Below are 20,683 nucleotides of genomic sequence, written 5' to 3'. Positions count from 1 at the left end.
TTATGAAAGCTGAGAACTCTACCTCTCCCAGGTCATAGCAAAAGACCTGGCTGCTGTATGTGGTGATTAGAGTCACCAGTAATCTTACTCTTGTTCCTGAAAAAAAAGTGAATAAAATGTGGCACACCCTCATTGCCAGAATGGGTAAGATTTTACTAACCTGGCAATTAGCGGTAGCAACTCCAAAAGGAAAGATTTTTTAAATTCTGATTGATACATAATGTCGAGCTACTCATTTTCCTAACACAGTGGAAAAATAATAGAAGTAGAGATAACTTCTTGGTTAGAGGTGGAATAGAGTGCTTGTTGTGGTGAGATTTGATTAACTGGAGAGACATCCTCCCACCAGCTAATCCGAAAAGGGCTATCATTGCCCAGGATGGAGCTCAGAGTATCAGTTTGAAGAATCAACAGGCATGACTAATACTGGAAAGACACTGCTGACAAAAATCTGTTACATTCCTCAAATACCCATTCCTCTCCTTTGACCCTAAGAATGTTGCTCAGAATGATGTTAGTCCAAAGTAGCAGCAAACCACATGAAATACAACCTAAATAAATGGAACAATAAAACAGGCTTCTGGCCAGGCGCGGTGGCCCACGCCTGTAATCCCAGCACTTTGGGAGACCAAGGCGGGTGGATCATGAGGTCAGGAGATAGAGACCATACTGGCTAACACGGTGAAACCCCGTCTCTACTAAAAATAAAAAAAAAAATTAGCCAGGCATGGTGGTGGGCGCCTGTAGTCCCAGCTACTCGGGAGGCTGAGGCAGGAGAATGGCGTGAACCCGGGAGGCGGAGCTTGCAGTGAGCCAAGATCGAGCCACTGCATTCCAGCCTGGGCAACAGAGGGAGACTCCCTCGCAAAAAAAAAAAAACAAAAAAAAAAAAAACAGGCTTATACATGTTGACCAAAAATAATCCAGGCAGAAGAGGTGACACCATCATGACACCCTAAATTTTGAAACTTGCTTGTCGTCCAACCAATAAAGCAGGATCATTAAAAGAAACAAAGCAAACAAATGAAAGCCTTCCCATACAATGTATTTTTGTTAGGTATTAATGAAGAATAGTCTGTTCTACATTAATCATTACAATGGTAATAATTAGGGATTCCGGAACTCACTTCCAAAAGAAATCCATTCCCAGAGAAAGTATTTTAACATGATATCACATTGATTTAAAATCACTGAATTAAAGCCACTGGTTTATACGTCAAGCCATATTTGAATGGCTTGAATAACTTTTCTCTTTTTTGCTACCAGAATTGAATGCAAAGTGGGGAGGGCTCTTATGCTGATTTTATTTTTAAGCGCGTGCAATAGCCACTGCAATTCCAGTAGAATTCTTCTGTTTTTTATTTTTGACAGCATAATCCTACACCCATGGGAGCTGAGCTTTACAGGTGTTAAAGAGGATTTGTTGTAAGAAAATGATTATGATAGGATTTAATGTAATTGAAAGTCAAGGTACAGTAGCCATACAGTGTATCAGAGAGAGTGTCAAAACTTGCAGCGAGGGTGGAGTGTCTTTTGTTAAGTAAACAACAAAAGTAGAGAGCGAAGAAGATATTCTATCACAATAGGATCTACAAGCTTGGCCAACCTGATAAGCCTGTCCCACCACAGTGGATATCAAACCCACAAGTGCTAGAGTGCTTCCCTGGCAAGAGGGGCCAGGAATAGCTGCAACATTCCTACTACACAAGAATGTTTTGAAAACAAGTTATATAATAACCTGAATTCTTGTCTAGAACTTGCTAAGCAACAACCATAGGCCCTCTCAGGCTCCAGGGGAGAAAGACTCATCTCTCAGCCATCACCCTGGCCCTTCCAGTTCCATGACCTAGAGCCACTCAGTCCTTTCACATCTTCGCTAAGTTTGTCAATATGGTGGCTATGAACACATATGCATTGCACGCACATATGCACAGAAACACATGAAGCAAGAATTGTGTGGCTCCCCAAGTTTCTCACCCCTGTTCTTGAAAATGTCATTCTCTCTCTAAAAATTATAGGTGGATCAAACATGTGAATACTTTTCCATTAAGATATGGCTATAAGGATTACAAGCAACATGACTTACTTTAGGCTCATAAAGTAATTATAAGCACTCAGGACTAGAATTTGGTGGTAGCAAGCAAAAGGGCAAGAATAACTGAAGGCCTTTTTCCCTGTAATTATAGTGCTTTCTTTTACTTCTGACTTTCTTCCCTACCATCCCAGGGTGCCATTAGCTCATTTTGATCATAATTAATATTACTAACTATATTTTGGTTGGCTTTTCACTGCTTATGGTCCATGAGATGGGCAGAAGCAGAACCTGAAGTCTAAGGCCATATTTATCTTAGACAAACAACTGGAGAACATTTTTTCCAATCATTAATTCCAGTTCTTTAGTACCGTGGAATCCCATAACAGCCTTTGCAACAGAGACACGTGAGTGCAGACAAGACCAGGAACTTACTATTGTTGCTATCCGCATCAATATTATTTATGTATATACTTCATTTCTCAAGCATGAAAGTGATTTACGAAATGACACAGGATGTCAAATAATGTGCATGGACTTGTGAGTAACGTCTTTTGAGGCGTTGCTCTTTCAGCACACAAATTTCATTTTCACCTGCATTCCCAATATCTGTTACAGATTTAAGCATCACTACATATATTTTTTAATATTAGGTTTTCTTTTTGTTCTAAATCGTGCTGCCTCAAAATCATGAATTTCAGATTTATATCACATATCACACATAAGGAATTTTTCTCCTCCTTTCTCCTTTATTTGTGTGCTAGCCAATTCTCTCCCTAGACATACAAGATAAAGGACAATAGGGAAAAAAATTTTTTTTTCATTTATTTATTTTTTGAGATGGAGTCTTACTTTGTTGCCCAGGCTGGAGTGCAGTGGTGTAATCTCGGCTCGCTGCAACCTCTGCCTCCGGGTTAAAGTGAGTCTTCTGCCTCAGCCTACCGAGTAGCTGGGACTACAGGCGTGCACCATCATGCCAGACTAATTTTTGTATTTTTAGTAGAGATGCAGTTTTACCATATTGGCCAGCCTGGTCTCGAACTCCTGACCTCGTGATCTGCCCGCCTCAGCCTCCCGAAGTGCTGGGATTACAGGCGTCAGCCACTGCACCCAGCCAAAAAAATATTTTAAAGTGGAGATAAATTCAAACATCACCAGTCAGCCAGCACTGAACAGCAAACATATACACATGCATATCTGACCCTTGAACAACATGAATTTGAACTATGTGGGTCCACTTAGATGTGGATTTTTCAATAAAAGTTACATTGAGTGTCCCGCCTCCCCTCCCACCTCTTCTGCCTCTGCCACCCCTGAGACAACAAATCAACTTCAGTACTTCCTCCTCCTCAGCCTACTCAATGTGAAGACAATGAGGGTGAAGGCCTTTATGATGAGCCACTTCCACTTACTAAATAGTAAATACATTGTCTCTTCCTTATGATTTTCTTAATAACATTTTCTTTTCCCTAGCTTATTTTAATAATACAGTATATAATACAAATAACATACAAAATATGTGTTAATGGACTGTGTATGTGGTCAGTATGGCTTCCGGTCAACAGCAGGCTATTAGTAGTTAAGATGTGGGGCAGTCAGAAATTATACATGGATTTTTTGCTGTAGGAGAGATCACCACCTCTATGCCCCAAAACGTTCAAGGGTCAACTGCTTATATATTTTGAATTATAGTTGGCATTTTGAATATGTTTTTATGCTTATATCTGAATATATGGTTTTGAGGATTAGAAATTAATATTTTACCCTAAGTCATGATGTCATTCTAAGAGCATTGTATTCAAAGAGTCAATAAAGCCACTCTATTTAGGACTCTTCACCTCCCAGACTGATAACAGAATACCACATTAAAGTAAAGTTGTTACTTCTATGAAGCAGGTAATCAACTAATTACATGCTTTAATTAAACTATCTCTCTAGTAGAATTTTCATTTGTTGGTCGGGCTTGGTGGCTCATGCTTGTAATCCCAGCACTTTGGGAGGCCGAGGCAGGCAGATCACGAGGTCAGGAGATCGAGACCATCCTGGCCAATATGGTGAAACCCCGTCTTTACTAAAATGCAAAAAATTAGCGGGGCATGGTGGTGCGCACCTGTAGTCCCAGCTACTCAGGAGGCTGAGGTAGGGGAATTGCTTGAACTCGGGAGGCAGAGGTTGCAGTGAGTCAAGATCATGCCACTGTACTCCAGCCTGGGTGACAGAGCGAGACTCCATCTCAAAAAAAAAAAAAAAAAAAAAAAAAAAAGAATTTTCATTTGTTCTGCTGGGAAAGTGAACTGCATAGTGACAGTGTCGGTAAGTACTAAATGTTGAGGTATACCACTAGCAAAACCAATGTGTATGACCCAACATAAAAATTCAGATATTCACTGTACTTTCTCTGTAGACTTGTTGTTAGTCCTATCTCTTCATATCTGAATGCATTTCTTTCATTCCATACCTGTTGACTCATATAGGATACTCTATATTAAACACAAATATGACTTTGACTTCAGAGTCCTTAGTAAAGAAGTTCTGTCATAAGCCACTCGTTCCTTTGATCACAGCTCTACCTGTGTTCTTGTATGCTCCCTGACCTTTAACCCCGTTAATTTTGCTTCATTCCTTTTGTGCATTCTCACTGCCAAGAATTCTTACCTGCCAGTTCTTCTATCATGGGTAACTTACCAATCAGCACTGCCAAATATCCTTCTCTTTCTTCACCTTCTCCAGGAAAGCTCCCTCTTCTGAGAAATGTGTATGGTCAAATCCAAAATCAGCTTGAGTGTGTTCATTGTTTTGCATCTTAGAATGATCACTATCTGGAATTATAATTTGGATTTTAGTCTCCAAATTTAAAAATGAGCATGCTAATAATGGTATGTTTGCGAAGACCTAGTGTCACAAATATTCAAGATATTCTCATCTTGGTCTCAAGTAGAATTGCTATTCTCCACCTCACCCCAACCCCTGTGAACTTAGTCATCATCACGTAACCTGCATTAGCCAATGAAATGTGATTCTGAGACAATGTGCAGTTTACAGTATCCTCTTTTCCCTCCTTCAGGGATATTGAAACTGTGAGTCTAGATGGAGTTCCCAGCAGCCTGGTCCTTTGCTGACTGTGATGAGCAGAGCCCCTGCCAACCTGCAATCACCTGTGCAGTGAATCTTTGGGGTTGTTTGTTGCCACAGTATACCTGTATTCCTGACTAATTAACTTAGAAATATTAATTTTCCCTTTCACTGCAGGGCTCATCTTTGTGATAAAATTTCTGTTGTATTCCAAAGCTTCTCAAACTTATGTTCTCACTGATTTTTACCTTTGGTTTTGTTGTTGTTGTTAACATTCCTATATCTCAGATAAAAAGCCTAAGATGCAAAGAAGGAGAATGATTTCATCAGCTTTTCCGAGCAATCACTTCTAAAGGAAAAATAAGAACAGATCTGATGTCTAGCCAGCGCTCTCTCTTCTGAACCAGAAATTAAAAAGAAATGCAGGTTACAATTCCAGTTAGAGGAAAAGTCATAGAGGTGTAGACTATTAAAGCTGGAAGAGTTTCAGAGCTCATCTGGTCCAGGCACCTTATTTTAGAACAAGACTCTGAGGCCCAGTGGATTTAAATGAGTGTACTGGCTAAGACCACACACCAAGTTAGGGGTTAAAGAAGATAAAAATTCAGATCCCTTATACCATGTTTTTCCACTTGGTAATATATGGATCCTGAATGAAAGGAAATCTGAAGAGTCTAAGACTATGTAGGCATATTCCTACACATCAGGCTAAGAAATTTAATCTTTAATCATTGATGATATCTTTCACATATGAGTTACTGCTCTACAAAATTTTTCCTTTATAACTAGTAAAATTACCATTAAAAATATATTATTGGGCCAGGCACGGTGGCTCACGCCTGAAATCCAAACACTGGGAGGCCGAGGCGAGTGGATCATCTGAGGTCAGGAATTCAAGACCAGCCTGGCCAACATGGCAAAACCCTGTCTCTACTAAAAATACAAAAATTAGCTGGGCGTGGTAATACTTGCCTGTAATCCCAGCTACTCAGGAGGCTGAGACAAGAGAATCTTTTGAACCCCAGAGGCAGAGGTTGCAGTGAGCCAAGATCATGCCACTGCACTCCAGCCTAGGTGACAGAGTGAAGATGGAAAAATATATATATAAAATATATATATTATATATACACACACACATACACACACACACATATATACACATATATATGTATATATTATTGAAACAAAAGCAAAAAAAAATTAGACTTCTGGAACTTGCAATCCCTGAGAATTTTTGGAATTCTCCAATTGGGAAATACTGTATGAGGCTCACTCTGCAGTGTGATCTTGGATTTCTCATCTTTGTCTCTATTGCATGCAGCCCAGTGGCTGGAACAGAGTAGGTGTTAATGTAAATTTGTGGAACTGATGCTTCTCTGTGTGGCACCCTGTTCAGTTTTCTTTCCAGGATAACATGCTAACATTACTAAGAAATTGATGAGACTCTGTCAGCAAGTCAACTGGATGACAGAGGTGATGAGCTGGTGCTGCACCAGCTTAATTGATTTCTTTACACACACTCACTCTTATGAGACAGTTTTAAAAAAGAGAGAAGAAAAGCTCTAGCATATTTCTAACAAGTTAGAGTAAAAGTTCATTATCTTCAATGACTATGAACACCATCCCCCAAAATATACAATCTCCACCTCCCAAACCTGTTGTCTCCACTATCTCTGGACATTAAGTCATTATCCAAATATCATATTCTCATCCTTCAGTGCAGTTAATCGCTACACAAGATGACGCTGCCTGTCCCAGGATGAGGAAAGGGGTGCTAGGTGCCAGACGCTGAATACAGACTGGTTCAGTCAAAGGCTCTATGTCTCCAGTTACAGAGAAAGAAACAGAGGACACAAAGTTAGATGTAATTTTCCCGGGCCCCATAGCTAGAATATGATAAAGAAGAGCTTTGCACCCAAATCTGTCTAAGAGCAGAAACAGAACGACAGAATCACCCTTCACTAAAACTGGTTGCCTCCGACTGCAAAGTAGCCTCATTTTATGGCCCCTCAGTTTGCAGCCTTTTGGGGGAACTGTCACGTGACCACTATCCCTACTTCAAGAGAAAGATTTGGTCACTAACATCATCACTAACACTTCACTTTTATTTCTACCAGGGCAGTGGGGAAAGGAGAACACAGAAAGGAGTGTCTGTCTCTACGGTTAAAGTGTCAGAAAGCCAAAGACTCATTCTCCTGGCTCTAATCGTGTAATTCTTGTGTGGGTGAAGTTAAACTCAGTAGTTAGCCTAATGAGAATGCAGATTTTGCTGTTCTGGGACTATTTAAAGGTTGCTTTCTGGTTTCTGTGGTAAAGTACCTTGAAGTCCTACTTTCAAGTATAAGTGGGTGGGAGTTGAATTGGCACAAAAAAAACCAAGAGATTTTATCAGTCTTCCTATCTACCTTTGCCTGGTAGAAGAGAAGCTCAGAGGCTTACACTAAACTGTCTTTGGAGACTCAGTTTCCAAAACTTCATATAATTCATCCTGCAATGTCCCCATGAGAACTTCCAACACTACAAAAAATGGACAACTTGAACCAGAAGGAGGGTGGTGGGAGCAGGTTTCTCTCTGCTCAGTATTCTAACAACCCTGCTTCTCCTCCTGCGTCTATCTTTCTGTTTCTCAACCCAGATCCGAAGGAAGTTGGGTGCATGGAGGGAGACTAGTAAGGAGTTGGAAGGTTTAAACACCACATCGACCAGAGAAACTTTAATGTTAAAAATAGGCCAGGCGCAGTGGCTCACGCCTGTAATCCCAACACTTTGGGAGGCCAGGGCGGGCGGATCACTTGAGGCCAGGAGTTCGAGACCAGCCTGGCCAGCGTGGTGGCTAATCCTGAGCTCAGTGGCTCACTCCTGTAATCCCAGCTACTCGGGAGGCTGAGGCAGAACAATCGCTTGAACTTGGGAGATGGAGGTTGCAGTGAGCTGAGATCACGCCACTGCACTCCAGCCTGGGTGACAGAGTGCGACCCTGTCTCAAATAATAATAATAATAATAATAATAATAATAACAACAAGTATTCCAAACAACTGAAAGTCTAGATTTTTAAAAAATAAAGAATGTAGAAAAAGCAAGCTATTTTTCTCCTGCTGTAGAGGGAAGACGAAATAATAATATGGGCTCAATACAATTCTTGCAGACCTGGTATTTCCACTTGTTCTACTCTTTGATCTCCCTACAGTGAGGAAGCACTTCAGAGGCCTGCCCTTCTCTCAAGCAATCTTATTTTCCCAGCACTTCCTTCTGATGGATTTCTGCACAACAAATTTATCAGGACATTTTATCATAGGCTGCCTTTTATGTGGTGAGATGGAGAGACCCTTAAGGAAAAGAGAATGTCCAGGAAGTAAATAAGTTTAGGCTGGAAGCAAGCAAAAAGCAAAGGACTAGGAAGAAATTCAGGAGGCCTGGGTCTGGAGCAGCCCACCGACAACCAATCAAGGAGGCCACGAAGCCAGTAGGGAAAGTAGCATCAACAAAAACAACATGGTGTCCTAACCGTGTGCCAGGCTTCATGTTAACCTACCTTCTTTTTATTTATTTTTATTTTTTATTTTATTTATTTATTTATTTATTTATTTATTTATTTATTTTGAGATGAAGTCTAATTCTGTTGCCCAAGCTGGAGTGCAGTGGCACATCTTGGCTCACTGCAACCTCCACACCCTAGTTCAAGCAATTCTCCTGCCTCAGCCTCCCGAGTAGCTGGGACTACAGGTATGCGCCACCACGCCCGGCTAATTTTTGTATTTTTAGTAGACACGGGGTTTCACTATGTTGGCCAGGCTGGTCTTGAACTCCTGACCTTGTGATCCAGCCCCCTCCTCGGCCTCCCAAAGTGTTGGGATTACAGGCATGAGCCATGGCGCCTGGCCCAACCTAACTGCTTTAAACCCATTATCACATTTAATCTGCATGATAACCTATGAGTTGGTGCTATTATTATACCTATTTCAAATATCAGAGGCTTAAAAACGTTACATGCTTGCTTGGGCTCGAACAGCAAGTAGGTGACAAGGAGGAGGAATTTAAACCTTAGTCTGTCTGAACATTACTTACATGCTCAATCAAGAACCTGTACTACTAGTGTAACAGAAAATTCATTAGACGCTCAGTTTCATGGACTAACTTAAGGAGTAGATAAATCCTTTGAAACTCTATAGAAAATATTATGTATCATTTTGTTTTTCAAGAGAAATGGTCTGTAGCCCTTACTGGATTCTCTGATGGGTTTGGGGGTCCAAAATACAGCCTGGGTTGTTCAGAGTTTGGCTGTGTGATTTTGCACTGGCTTAGTAGCTCTGAATTGTCATTGCAGGCTTCCAAGGCCTCTTCTGTCTTTAAAAAGCAATGGTTCTGTTATCCTAAATGTCATAAAGAACATTAAAAAGTATGAACAACTTTCCTATTACCCCTCATGACCCCTCCCCTCCCCACCCTGTACCCCCCAGCTTTACATTCCCACCACCTACTACATCACCTGCTTTTATCACTCCCACGATGGGACAAAATAGATCCAATTGCCATGTGCATTCTTCAGAGCCTTTCCAAAGCCTGGTTATATGATGCATGGAGTATGAGTCAGGCTCAGGGGAAAGGGGGCCTCTTTTTAAAGTTTATATGTAACCGTGAGAGCATTCAAGCATGTGCTGGCATGCCAACCCTCTGTTTAAAAAAATATAAAAGCTGTTAGCAATAATGTTTTCCTGTTACATAGTAGTTCAGGGACATCACAGCCCTTCGAAGTGGGGAAAGGCATGTCTACTTAGAGGGCAGTGGAGGGCATTGTAACCCCCAACCATTTCTCCACCTTCCATTTCTGCTACAAAAAGGTTCTCCAACCTCATTCCTCTCTGAAGTTGAAAGCTCCAGTTTGAATTCCTTACTTGGAAGGTCACGCATTTTCTCATAGCCAAAAAGCCTGTTTGCTTTTGTCTTCCCACTTGCTTTCAAATGAAAATATCAGACCACAGACCATTTTGCTTCCCTGATTCAAAAATTAATTACATCATGTCCAGAAGTGAAGGTTGTTGAAAGTCATTAATGTATTTGTTGGGAACACTGCATTCCGATAGCTTTTACATGAATGCTCAGATGCCTGTTCTCAGCCTGACCCCATCAGCAGTTCTGTATGGTGTAGGGTAAAAACCATGGTCACATATTGTCCACTTCAGTCCCTCACTGTGCTCATTCAAAAGCACACTGTCAAGTACATTTTTATTATCGGAAAGTGTATCTATTTATTTCCCATTGTTTGTCGACATCTCCCAGAAGCTTTGGAATAGGACTTCTTAATCTGCCAATTCTGACCCTTTCTGCCTCTCGACCATTATTTCTACTGCCTTGTGATTCTAATAGACCTTGAAATTAGCACTGTGTTTCTGTTTGTGGTGCGTAGCACACTCACCGGTGGTAGGTAGCAAGCCAAGTACATCAGCTGCACAACAGTCATATGTGGCCTGGGTACCTGTCCTTGCCACTCCTGGGCAGGGGTCCAGCCCCATGCCTGGCAATCACATGCATCAGCAAGCTGCTGCTCTGGAAAGAAGAAATACAGGCTCAATTGTTTGGGACAGGGCTCTGCAAATGTGACGGAGGGAAACAGCCAAAGCTTGCAGGTAAGTTTTTAGACATAGAGATCAGAGACATTATTTTTCACCAAAGCCATCAGTCCAGATACATAATTCCTCTATAGTGAATCAGTATGAATTGGTGGTTACCCAGAATGCTCTGTGCTTCCACCAAGAACACTCCCAAGCTTAGGGAGTAGGCTTGGCAACTCGGGGAGAGGGTGACAGGTTGATGTATAGAAACACAGCATGACAGATTGAAAATTCTAAAACTTTGTCCTTCACCACAAATTGGGCACTTTAGGGAGGTGTATTTCCCAAGGGCATGAAGGACACCAGCATGAGATATTATACATTATATGTCACTAGGAGTCATGATAGTCAGAGGAACTGAACTGTGGTGACAATAGGGCAGGGTCTGACCTTGGGGGCAGATGAACTTGGTTTGAGCTCAGCCTCTGTCCTTTGGAGTTAACCTCTAGCACATGATTTAACTCCCACACATCATCTGACACCTCTCACCTCATATATAGCTCTTGCACCCAGTTTGCATAGTGGTCCAGGCACAACTTCCTTCTTCAGATCTTTCCAGAACTCCATGGGTCCATGTTATTATCACTGCCTGACACACGCCCCCCACCCATGACGTTTCCCTCGTGGCATGTTTCTGCGTATACAGGCAATCGCTTTGCTTCACTGGATTCCAAGCTGGATGAAAAAAGGAACTGTGTCCATTTTTGTGCACCACTGTATACTCAGTACCTAGCATCTTGCCTGACATCAGTCAGTATTTAAGGAATAGTGTTAAATAAAGAGATGCACTCTAAATCTGTTTTCTCTGTAAAATAGAGATAATAGGCCGGGAGCAGTGGCTCATGCCTGTAATCCCAGCACTTTGGGAGGCCGAGGCGGGTGGATCACCTGAGGTTGGGAGTTCGAGACCAGTCTGACCAACATGAAGAAACCCTGTCTCTACTAAAAATACAAAAATTAGCTTGGCATAGTGGCGCATGCCTGTAATCCCAGCTACTAGGGAGGCTGAGGCAGGAGAATTGCTTGAGCCTGGGAGGCGTATGTTGTGGTGAGCTGAGATTGCGCCATTGCACTCCAGCCTGGGCAACAAGAGCGAAACTCTGTCTCAAAAAAATAAATAAATAAATAAAATAGAAATGATAATAGTACCTACTTCAAGTGGAGTTGCAGAAATTAAATGAAGTAGCACATATAAAGTCTTCAGAATAATGCCTGGAACATAGCAAACACTCAATAAACAAACACAGCTGGCATTGGTATTTAGAACATTCATTCACAGCCCAGGGTCTTGCCCTCATATTGAGGTGTTATGTGAATCACCTGAACCTGCAAATTGTGTGTGTACACAATTTTTTGAGAAGAGGATCCCTGAGAGTTTTCAGACTCTCGAGTGGGGACAATTACTCCACCGTCTAAAGGAAATCAGAATCGCTGCTATAGAGACCGATACCATTGGACTACAGAAAATAAGACAGCAGCCTATTTTACGTAAGAGTCTAAGGATCACAGATTTTAATTCTTATGCAGCCTTAGTTTGCTTTAATGCTCAACTGAATCACAGAGCACTGAATTAGGAACTAGGGGACATGGTCTCTTGTCTGAGTCCTTTTCCTTTGCTAGCTCTATAGTCTTGGTTTATTCACCCACCCTCTTACTTTATAAACGTTTTTGCCCTGGTTTGGGCAGAGATAATGCCAAGAAGAATAATGCTTTTAAAATCCTAAAGACAAACACAGAACTACATGAAAAGTATAGGGTCTGCAAGTCAGGAGATGTCTTGCTCAGAGCACCCTGTTTCCTAATGTGCAAAATAAGTGAGTTTAATTAGATGACATTTAAGATTTCTTCTAACTGCTCACTATAATCCAAAGATTTGAAAATAAATTGCCTCTGTTCCGAGGATTTGTTTTCTGTCTGAGTCTTCACTGTACTAATTTACACCCTTGCCCACACCAAGGACACTATTTTTACTGACCCATTTGCAAAATTGAAGTAGAGGTGGCATCTTAGTCCATCCGGGCTGCTATAACAAAACACTTTAAGCTGGGTAATTTATAAACAACAGAAATGTATATCTTGCCACTCCGGATCCTGGGAAGTTCAAAATCAAGGCACCAGCAGATTTAGTGTCTAGTGAAGGCTCTCTGCTTTATAGAGGGTACCTTGTGGCTGTGCCCTCCCATGGTAAAAGTGGGGCAAGGGAGCTCACTGGAGACTCTTTTATAAGAGCAGTAATCCCATTCATGAGGGTAGAAGCCTCTTGCATTGATCATTTCCCAAAGTCCCCACCTTTTAATACTATCACATTGGGTATTAGATTTCAACACATAAATTGGGGATGCGAGGGAGGATAAACCAACATTCAGACCATGTGAGATGGGAAAGTAAGAGACATTCTCTGCTCTTTGCTGATTTTGATTCGGTATATTTAGCCCTTTAATGGGCTTCTTGGACTTGAGCTAAGTTGGATAGCAAGAGGAACTTAAGACTTGGTGAAGCCAATTATTAAAAAGTCAAAAAAATAGGCCGGGCACAGTGGCTCATGCCTGTAATCCCAGCACTTTGAGAGGCCGAGGTGGGTGGATCACAAGGTCAGGAGATCGAGACCTTCCTGGCTAACACAGTGAAACCTCGTCTCTACTAAAAATACAAAAATTAGCCGGGTGTGGTGGTGGGCACCTGTAGTCCCAGCTACTCGGGAGGCTGAGGCAGGAGAATGGCATGAACCCGGGAGGCAGAGCTTGCAGTGAGCCGAGATCACGCCACTGCACTCCAGCCTGGGTGACAGAGTGAGACTCCGTCTCAAAAAAAAAAAAAAAAAAAAAAAAAAAAAAAAAAGCAGATGCTGGCGGGTTGCAGAGAAAAAGGAATGCTTATATGCTGTCGGTGTGGGTGCAAACTAGCTCAACAGGAAAGCAGTGTGGCAATTCCTCAAAGACCTAAAAACAGAATTGCCATTCAGCCCAGCAATCCCATTACCAGGTATATACTCAAAAGAATATCAATCATTCTATTATAAAGACACATGCATGCATGTGTTCATTGGAGCAGTATTCACAATAGCAAATACATGGAATCAACCTAAATGCCCATCAACAGTAGACTGGATAAAGAAAACGTGGTACCTATACACTGTGGAATACTATGCAGCCATAAAAAAGTACAACATCATATCCTTTGCAGGAACATTGATGGAGCTATAGGCCATTATCCGTAGCAAACTAATGCGGGAACAGAAAACCAAATATTGCCCATTCTTACTTATAAGTGGGACCTAAATGATGAGAACTCATGGAATCATAGAGAGGAGCAACAGACACTGGGGCCTATCAAAGGGTGGAGAACGGAAGGAGAGAGAGGATCAGGAAAAACAACTAATGGGTACTAGGCTTAGTACCTGGGTGAGACAATAATCTGTACAACGAGCCCCTGTGACATGAGTTTACTTATCTAACAAACCTGCACGTGTACCCCTGAACTTAAAATAAAAGCTAAAAAGGAAATAGCAGGGACCCAGTGAAGGCAAAAGCACCCGAATTCCAGCTCAGAATGACTTCCCCACTGAGCCCAGCAGAGCACCAATGGGAGATGAATCTAACTCCTCTGGATGTGTAAATTCTGTACCCTTCTCGCCCATCCCCTGGGAATCTTTGAGTTTTACACACTGAGGTATCAATTTCTTTGATTGGACTGAAGATCCATCTCAGTAAATGTGAATTTAGGAAGAACAGAAGGAGAAGAGCCAAGTGAAGGATGTTAACTTTCAACAATAGGATACTGCCACGCAGGAGAAGTCAAAGCCTTTAAATGGCAGGAGACTGAGAAAACGAATCTGCTGGTTCATAGGAAGGTAAAGGACATAGAAAGTGAAATGGAACCAGAGCTCTATAAGGTGGCCTAGGCTTCTGGAAGCCCATCTCTGGACATCAGTCCTGGAGAACTCACACAGGCCAGTCTTTTTGTTTTGTTTTAAGACGGAGTCTCACTCTGTCACCCAGGCTGGAGTGCAGTGGCACGATCTCCGCTCACTGCAACCTCCAACTCCCAGGTTCACACCATTCTCCTGCCTCAGCCTCCCAAGTAGCTGGGACTACAGGCGCCTACCACCACACTTGGCTAATTTTTTTGTATTTTTAGTAGAGACGGGGTTTCACTGTGTTAGCCAGGTTGTTCTCGATCTCCTGACCTTGTGATCCACCTGCCTCGGCCTCCCAAAGTGCTGGGATTACAGGTGTGAGCCACCACACCCACCTCACCTAGGACAGTCTTAAAGGACTGAAAACTTAAGCTCATCTTGGCTGACTGGGGTTTTCCAAATAGAATCCAGGCTAATGAATCTAGTTACATTCAGATAAGTAAGTCTCTGCGATGCTGTTCAGTGTCTCTTAGTCCAGGTCCTTTATCAATGGCCATCATTTGGGGACACACGGATAAACCTAATATCATCTCAGGTAATGGTGCACCCAAACCTCCCAAGCAGTAAGTCAATTTTCAGCATTCCACTCTGATTTGACTCCTATATCATTTCTTTGCCGCTCTATTTCCTCATTGAGGAAGATTGTATTCTGATCTGATACCTAAGTTGAGCCTGGAGTGCAGTGAAACCTTATTGCCTATAACTCACACAGTCTCACTGACCTGATTTCCATAAATAGATAAACTCATCAAGGAGAAACACAGGATCAAAATCTAAAAGCCATCTCAGGAAATTATTCATTTCAGATATTTGCCTCAGGTCAAATTAAAATTCCAACCATCCCTAAAACTCATGTCTGTCTGTATTTTTTAATAGAGATTCAGATTAAATAAGCTTCCTTGATAACTTCTAATATATGATTAATTTTTCTGTCATTGAGTCCTTTTTTATGAATGTGGCAGAATAGATGAGAACTAGATAAATCTTCTAGATGGTAGTGAATGTCATTTCACAAACGACAACACTGAGGACTATAAAAAATATATGGCTTTCCTGAGGTAACATATATTCATGTATTCTTCCATGTATTCATTTATTCATTCAACACTCATTCAAAAAATCTATTTATTGAATGTCTGCTCTATTTAGTCACAGTTGTAGATACAGGGATAAACAAAATATTTGTTTACTAGAGCTGCTGTTAACAAAATACCACAAACCAGGTGGCTTAAACAACAGAAACTGGTTTTCTCGCAGTTCTGGAAGCTGAAAATCTGAGCTCAAGGTTTCCTAGTGTTGGTTCCTTCTGAGGGCTGTGAGCAAGAATCTGTTCTATGCCTTTCTCCTAGATTCTGGTGGTTTGCTGGCAATCTTTCACATCTCTTGGCCTATAGGAAAGCATGGCCCCAATCTCTGCCTTCATCTTCACATGGAATTTCCCCTGTGTGCATGCCCACATTTCCCTTTATAAGAACACCAGTTCTGTTGGACTAGGGGCTGAACCCTATTGCAGTATGACCACATCATAGCCAATTACAACTGCAATGGCCATATTTTCAAATAAGGTCACGTTATAAGGCAGCGGTTCCCAGCCTTTTTGGCACCAGGGACCTGTTTCAAGGAAGACAGTTTTTCCACGGACTTGGGGTCGGGTGGGGGGGCGCTGGTTTCAAGATAACTCAGGCGCATTACATTTATTATGCACTTTATTTCTATTATTATTACATTGTAATATATAATGAAATAATTATACAACTCAGCCAGGCATGGTGGCTCACGTCTGTAATCCCAGCACTTTGGGAGGCCGAGGCAGGTGGATCACGAGGTCAGGAGATCGAGACCATCCCGGCTAAAACGGTGAAACCCCGTCTCTACTAAAAATACAAAAAAATTAGCCGGGCGTGGTGGCGGGTGCCTGTAGTCGGGAGGCTGAGGCGGGAGAATGGCGTGAACCCGGGAGGCGGAGCTTGCAGTGAGCGGAGATCGCGCCAGTGCACTCCAGCCTGGGCGACAGAGTGAAACTCCGTCTTAAAAAAAAAAAAAGAAAAAAAAAGCAGAAAAGAAATAATTATACAACTCACCATAATGCAGAATCAGTGGGAGCCCTGAGCTTGTTTTCCTGCAGGAAAACTAAACGGTCCCCTTTAGGGGTGATGGGAGACAGTGATAGATCATCAGGCATTAAATTATCATAAGGAACACACGGCCTAGATCCCTCTTAGGCGTAGTAGGGTTCGCGCTCCTATGACTATCTAATGCCACCACTGATCTGACAGGAGGCGGAGCTCAGGCCATAATGTGAGTGATGCGGAGTGGCTGTAAATATAGATGAAACTTCCCTCATTCGCCCACCTGCCGCTCAGCTCCTGCTGTGCGTCCTGGTTCCTAACAGGTCACAGACTAGTACTGGTCCATGACCTGGGGGTTGGGGACCCCTGTTCTAAGGTATTGAGGATTTTGACCTCAACCTATGAATTTCAGGGGAATGCAATTCAAATCATAACATGCAGGAACAAAAGAAATTCCCTGCTGCCAAAAAACTTAAATTCAAATGTCAGGAGACATTGAATGTATGTGTGTATTTCTGTGTGTTTCAGAGGCAGTGAAAAATGCCCGAAAGTACCAGAGCAGTGACAGAGTTTAAGGGATTGCTACTTAAGATCCTCTCTGAAATGCCTTTTGAGCAGACCTGAATAAAGCCAGAGGCTGGACCTCGTGAAAATCCAAGTGGAAGCGTGGTCTGAGCGAACAGCATAGTGAGTGCAGATGCTCTAGACTAGAACCTCTCATTGCTGCCTCCCGCTGCAAAAGGGTCTGGGAAGTGTTAATTGTGCCAGGCACGATGTGTGCTGGGAGATATTTCACTACCAGCCCTTGGTAATTTCCTCTCCCTTTTGAAGACTTATTTCAATATTTTTTGAGCATCTACTATACTCAGCCTGCTTGGAGCTAAGTGAAAATCAAAATGAGACTGATCTTTGTCTTCTTGGAGCAAGGTTTTAAACGACTACATAATATTAGATTGGACAAGCCATAATAACTCATTGTAATTTTACTTTTCACCTCACTTCTAAGAGAAAGAAAGACCAAATAGCCTCTGAGAGAATTTTTCCCATGATAGGGTATTAAAACTTCACAAGACTCATTCCATTGGCAGCTGCTCAATTGCTGGAATTGGCTTTTATCTCAAATTAAAATCTGATACTTACACCTACTGGACGTAGAACAACACAGAACAAATATTTTTTCTCTTCCGTGTGATCATTCTTAAAATTTTGAAGAAAACTTGAATGTTTATTTATTTCCTCATTGCCTTTCACTCTCTATGTACCCCACAGTCCCTGCAATATTTATTTGCCTCTGGGTACTCTCTACTTAGTCCGAGTTTTCACTAACTGCTAGGCCTAGAGAATATGGGTTGCATGTAGGTTTTGAACATTTCCATGTTCAGTGGGAGTGTTGTTTATTGTGATGTAGATGTTATGCTTCCATTAATCCAGCCCAAGATTAAGTCAGCATTATTTGTAATCATAATGAAATGCTGGCTTCCATTAAACATTCAAATGAACATATTTTTACTTCAGCGTTAGACTTTACATTCACCACCTTCGTATTTCATCTTACTGGTTTCGATCTTCCATCTGCATGTCTTGATACTTTTTCAAATCATGACTCCATATCTATTGCACTGTGACAGAAAAGAGAAGTCCTCAGATTATTCACCGTATGACTCTGACTGAGTCACTTGATTTTCCTGAACCTCAGTTCTGCCCACTGTAAAAATAAAGGAGAGTTGGGATCTAGCAATAAGTCTGTTCTGTATAGTTGTGAGAATCAAACATGACAATCTAGGCAAAACTATTCTTTAATATGAGAAACACTATGCAAGTGTTAGTTAATAGGATTGATAGGATTGGCTTTTCTTCTTGATTTTTGTCAACTGTAAAAGTGACAAGTGTGTTTTCTATGTCTTTAGCCAACTCATTAATTCAAATGCCAGGCAAATTAAGACCAAAATATTAATCAATGTGCTTTAGGTTTGTTTACAACCTGTTGTGAATCTATCTAAAGGTATTATGACCCTATTGGTATATTCAGTTTACCTTAACCTCAAAGATCTCATCAGCCTGGCTGTGTGTCAACACGATATGGTGTAGTAGTTACCATCAACTGCTTTGAGTCGGACAAATTTAGCCTCAATTCCGGCTCAGCCACTCACTGGCAAGTAATTCGTGTAAATTACTTGATCTTACTGATTCTCTGTTTCTTATCTTTAAAAAGGGAGATAAACAAAGTACTTACCTACTGGAACTATTGTGAGGGGTAAATAAAGCAGAGCCTAGCATAGAGTAAACGTTCAACAGTGGTTGCAATTTTTATGATATTATGAAAATTAAGTCATCCTAGTCAATCCTCTGATCTTATGAAGTAGCTCTATTTCAAAAACAATAAAATAAATTAAGCTAGCATAACATGACATTCCCTGTGAACCTATGTTCACTCCCAGTAACCACCACATTCCTTTGTTAACAGTCATGAACCATTAGCTTAAAAATCCATTCTTGACTTTTTCTAGGTTCACCATCTGAGAATAGCTGATCTGTTTGTGAATTATGGAATCTGCTTCCTTTTTGTGAAAAATTAATTGACATTTCCCTTATTCATTCATCTCTTGGTCTCTGAAAGATCTCAGTAGTTACTGATATTAATCCTCAGTTCATATTCACTCATTCAAAATGAATATTCTGAGTATCTACTATTTGCCCAACATTCCAGTTTTCTCAGCAGCCTGGCATAACTTGCGCCTGTCCTGTGTTCTCATTTAAAGTGACCAGGCTTTGTCTTACTGTCCACTTATCTATGTAGACTTGCAGTCAACTCCCTCTTTACATTGTTTGTGAATGTGGACAAGTCATTTAATGCTAAGTCACAATTTCCACCCCAGTAAAGTAGGATAACTACTGTGACTACCTCACAGGGCAAAAATAAATGAGACGAAGTGAAAAAAAAAAGTCCCCCAAACCCAAAGCACCCCCCAAAATTAATTCAAGGCATAATTTTCTTTTCCTTCCAGCCAGCAGACCACTTTCCTTGCTGCTGAACGTGAAAACAGAATATGAATTTACCAGTTCTGTTATCTGTTATTATTACACCATCTGCCCCAAGCAGTTTGGAATCACTTCCTTGTTCTACTTTCAAACACAGATGAAAATGACTTTTTGTGGTCTTTAACATTTTCAATAAACCCAAATTTTGTTATTTTTTGTTATTCATTTGTTATTTATACCCCTATGATATTCTGTATTAAAATACAAGTACAGTCAGATCCAGCCAAACCAAAAAAGGATGAAGAGATCAAGCATGAAAAGGAGGAGATAGAGCCTTGCTCTGACTGGATCATAAACCTGCCTGGGAGCAAGATGACAGAATGGAAGTCTCCAGTGCTCATTGTCCCTCTTCCTTACAGGAACATCAAACTGCACAGCTATCCAAACAAAAAAGCGCTTTCCTTAGAACCAAAACTCGGCCGGGCGCAGTGGCTCACGCTTGTAATCCCAGCACTTTGGGAGGCCGAGGCGGGTGGATCACGAGGTCAGGAGATCGAGACCATCCTAACACGGTGAAACCCCATCTCTACTAAAAATACAAAAAATTAGCCGGGCGTCGTGGCGGGTGCCTGTGGTCCCAGCTACTCGGGAGGCTGAGGCAGGAGAATGGAGTGAACCTGGGAGGCGGAGCTTGCAGTGAGCCAAGATCGCACCACTGCACTCCAGCCTGGGCAACAGAGCGAGACTCCATCTAAACAAACAAACAAAAAGAACCAAAACTCAGGTAAGCAATCACAGTACTGGGTTTTAACATCATATTAAGGAAAGAGGCACAGAAGAGAGTAGGAAAGACAGTCCAGAACTGTTGACACCACCCTTCCTCCATCCCCTGGCAGTGGCTGCATGGCACACAGACAGCATCTGTGTGCTTGGGGAAGGAAGAGCACAGTGATTGTGGGACTTTGCGTTGGAACTCAGTGCTGGCTTGTTGCAGTGGAAAACAAC

This window comes from Homo sapiens, chromosome 6, assembly GCF_000001405.40.
Source record: "Homo sapiens chromosome 6, GRCh38.p14 Primary Assembly".
Lineage (NCBI taxonomy): Eukaryota > Metazoa > Chordata > Mammalia > Primates > Hominidae > Homo > Homo sapiens.
Note: the sequence above shows the minus strand (reverse complement) of the source record.